The sequence below is a fragment of the Homo sapiens genome, chromosome 1 (assembly GCF_000001405.40).
Source record: "Homo sapiens chromosome 1, GRCh38.p14 Primary Assembly".
Classification (NCBI taxonomy): domain Eukaryota; kingdom Metazoa; phylum Chordata; class Mammalia; order Primates; family Hominidae; genus Homo; species Homo sapiens.
Window position 1 is genome coordinate 99,183,551 of NC_000001.11, and position 4,094 is coordinate 99,187,644.

Here is a 4,094-nt window from a genome sequence, read left to right on the forward strand (position 1 = left end):
TACATCCTCGTCAGCACTTGGTGTTGTCAGTATTTTTTATTTTCTGCATTCTAATAAGTGTGCAGTGGTATTTCATTAATGCTTAACTTTGCATTTCACTTATGGCTAATGATGTTGAACATTTTTAATATGCTGCTTTGCCATCCTTATAACCTTCTTGGTAAGTGTCCAAGCTTTTGCCCATTTTAAAAATTGATTTCTATGTTTCCTTACTGTTGCATATTGAGTTTTTTGGGTTTTTTGGTTTTGTTTTGTTTTGTTTTTGATGGAGTTTCACTCTGTTGCCCAGGCTGGAGTGCAGCGGCACAATCTCAGCTCACTGCAACCTCCGCCGCCCAGGTTCAAGCGATTCTCCTGCCTCATCTCCCAAGTAGCTGAGATTACAGATGCCCACCACCATACCTGGCTAATTGTTTTATATTTTTAGTAGACATGGGGTTTCTCCATGTTGGCCCGGCTGGTTTTGAACTCCTGACCTCAAGTGATCTGCCCACCTCAACCTCCCAAAGGGCTAGGATTACAGGCATGAGCCACTGCATCTGGCCTGAGTTTTATATATATTTTGGATGAGAAATTTATAAAGGAAAGAGGTTTAATTGATTCACAGTTCCACATGGTTGGGGAGGCCTCACAATTATGGCAAAGGAGAATGAGCAAAGTCACATCTTACATGGTGATAAGCAAGAGAGCATGTGCAGGGGAACTCCCCTTTATAAAACTATCAGATCTCATGAGATTTATTCACTATCATGAGAACAGCATGGGAAAAACCTGTCCCCATGATTCCATTATCTCCCACTGGGTCCCTCCCATGGCACATGGAAATTATGGGAGCTACAATTTAAGATGAGATTTGGGTGGGGACACAGCCAAACCATATCAACATGTATATTTGGTCAACTTATCAAACAGACCTTTGGAAACCTAACTATTTAAAGGACTAAGGAACTTCCAAGAGAAGCTAATTCTAAAACACAGGACAGGTAGACACACACATCTAGTAACAGATTTCTGAATTTGAGTAGGGGAAGATTTTTGAGTACAACATACTGTCACTCAGAATTGTTTCTGATACTGTCCTTGTTTGAATTCTGGAGAAGGCAGAAAGTCAAAAGTAAAAGATATATTTCACTCAAATATACCTGATTTTATCTTTAATGGAAAAAAAAATGAGAGTACCTTTTCCCCCCAATTTATTGTAGAGTGCCAGAATCTATTTGCCCTGCATTTGCCCAGTGCATCACCAGCAGCACCCAGTGGAATAGGCAATAGTATTTAGCTGAGATGGCCCTGCTGATTCCCAGGAAAGCAAGCAGTAGTGGTGCCCCTTTGCGGTGGCAAAGTTTGGAGAAGACTGTTGTCCTCAAGAGTAGAAATGGTTATCATGCCTATTGTAAATGACATCTCATGGAAGTGAAAGCAATATGTGACAGCTGCCAACTAAAGCAACTGCCCAGTGGAAAGGCCAAGAAAACAGAAGGCAGGAAGGAGAAAAACATGGCCAAAAGCACAATTGCTCCTAGGATTATTCTGAGAGCTTGGGAGACACAGGGTCCTAGTTTATCATGTCAGTGCAAGGGCCAGTGAATCATAGGTTACTTGTTGACATTGAATTTGGTGCCTATTTTAGTCACTAATTGCATTGTAATAAGCTGTACATTTGAATAGCTTGTTTCTTTTTAAGTAGTTTAAAGAATAATAAACCAATGGAAGCTGCAGCTTACGACTAATATCTCGGAGTTGATCTTGCCTTTCAAAAGGCCTGTGCCATTTATATGCTTTTAAAAATATGATTTCCCAGGCTCTACTCAGGAACTTCTGTTTCAGTCACTCCAAAGTGCAGCCCATATGTCTGTATTTTTAACAAGCTCCACAGAGTATTCTGATCCAGAACAAGACTTGAAGACTTGAAAACTCTGCTTTGAAATTCGATAAAGAAAATGAAACAGCTTATATGATGATGAAATAACATAGAATTCAAGAAGCATTCAATTTTAGTAACTACTTTTGGAGTACTTTAAGTTAACTTTAAAGATACATTCACAAGTCCTGCAGGTGAACTTGTGTTTTTTTCTGTAGACCTGAAACCCATGCAGATAGAAAGGATTTGAGTTGGACTATGGGGATTCTGTAATGGGCCACCCAGATCCCCAGTTCAGGAAGGGAGAGTTTACTCCCCCAGCTGCTGGTAGTATGGCCAGGGAATGACCCTCAACTGCCACCCCACTTCAGTGATTGCCTTTGTTGCAGAAAAATGTCTCACCATAAGTTACACACTCTTTCTAGCATGGCTTACATTTAATGACTGCTGAATGTCAGGGGAAAACATCTCCTGCCCCAAATTAGAACAGACCTCTAAGGCCATTCCAGCTTCCAGGCTGTCTTTCAGGTCAGCTGAGGTCTTCATTGAGATTGCATTACATCTCAACTTCTCCTTCTATCCAATCCTGCTGTCTTCCCTTCCCTTCACAGAAGTTGATCCCAACAACACACCTGAGCAAATGTTCTGCATGCCAATCATCATCTCAGAGTTTGCTTCCTAAGCAACTCAGCCTGTGTCAACCCCTTAGCTTGCAAATGGTCAAAACCAAACTAGCTTAAAGTAAGGGAGAAATTCATCACAAGGATACTGGGCTATCTCAGGTTGAACTATGAAGAGTGGACAGAGCAGAGATGCAACCCAGCTTAGAAACAACTAAAATGACAGAGTGAAGACTGCCAGATCACTCTCTCATGTCCTCACATTCTCTTATGCTCTCTTCTCTTTCACTTGCTTTTTCTGTAATCCAGCTTCTCTTTTCCTACCTGGTTTATTCTCTCACTGTGGATGGGCTACTTCTACTGGATGAGAAATGTAGCTATTATATTATACATTTTCATATTTCTACAGTCAAAGAAGAACTATGTCTATTTTCTAATCTAGTTCATAAATTTTTAAGGAATATTCTGTTTGTCCAGACTTGGGTCAGTTTCCAAGGTCTGGACCAATCACTTGTTGTTAGGAGGCAGGGACAGGTAATATACCAACTTTCCCTGAAATCACATTGGGAGAGGAAGGAGATAATGTCCCTAAGAAGAAGGCTTTTCAATGCAGAAGGGTTTAAGAAATGGTGTGTGTAGGAGTGTATAAAACATATATAAGACTTGCTCTGAGTGGAAGTCTCTACAATATCTCCCCGCACACACACACACAACTATATATTATTATAATAACATACAACAATATGCTTTGTCTGAATGCTTTCCAGTTCAAAAACATCTTACTTGCCTCATTTTTATCTTTACAAGATATTTAAATATATAAGAAAATTAGTCGTAAATTATATTATTGAAAATTTCATGCCCATTATGAGTTAGATCTGGAATTCAAGCCTGATCTTCTGATTTCAAGTCTAAGTCCAAAAGTTGTCCACTTTTGCACCTACTTACTTATGATTTTTTCTTTTTTGAGTTTTAATTTCTGTGGGCACATAGTAGGTGTATATACTTATTTACATATTTTTTTCTAAAAACATATGAATCCTACTTGGTCCCCCATTAAAGTAAGACACAGTTATCTTTTCCTGAGGTGAGTATATAATGCAACCAAATGATTTCCAATTGTTTATCGGCCATTTTAGGTGGGTGTGCTTCTTGATGTCTATATTAAAGCCTTGTCAAATAGCCGATTGCTTATAATACCCATTCGTGGGCACACAGGTCGCTCTTCCACCAGCTTCCAAAACAAAACAAAAGACCAAAAAACCATCTTGCCAGAAATTCTCACCTGCAAATTATGCTTCTTAATGATCAATCTGCCAGTTAGAATGGCGATCATTAAAAAGTCAGGAAACAACAGATGCTGGAGAGGATGTGGAGAAATAGGAATGCTTTTACGCTGTTGGTGGGAGTGTAAATGAGTTCAACCATTGTGGAAGACAGTGTGGTGATTTCTCAAGGATCTAGAACCAGAAATACCATTTGACCCAGCAATCTCATTACTGGGTATATACTCAAAGGATTATAAATCATTCTACTATAAATACATGCACACGTATGTTTATTGTGGCACTGTTCACAATAGCAAAGACTTGGAACCAACCCAAATGCCCATC

General features: G+C 39.4%; 1 annotated feature.

Moving 5' to 3' along the window:
* Positions 333-500: a silencer, noted in NCBI's record as "fragment chr1:99649439-99649606 (GRCh37/hg19 assembly coordinates)". NCBI's record gives its function as "represses an EF-1alpha promoter that drives an FKBP-Casp9 reporter gene in an ReSE screen in K562 erythroleukemia cells {active_cell/tissue: K562}" and the evidence as "EXISTENCE:reporter gene assay evidence [ECO:0000049][PMID:32094911]".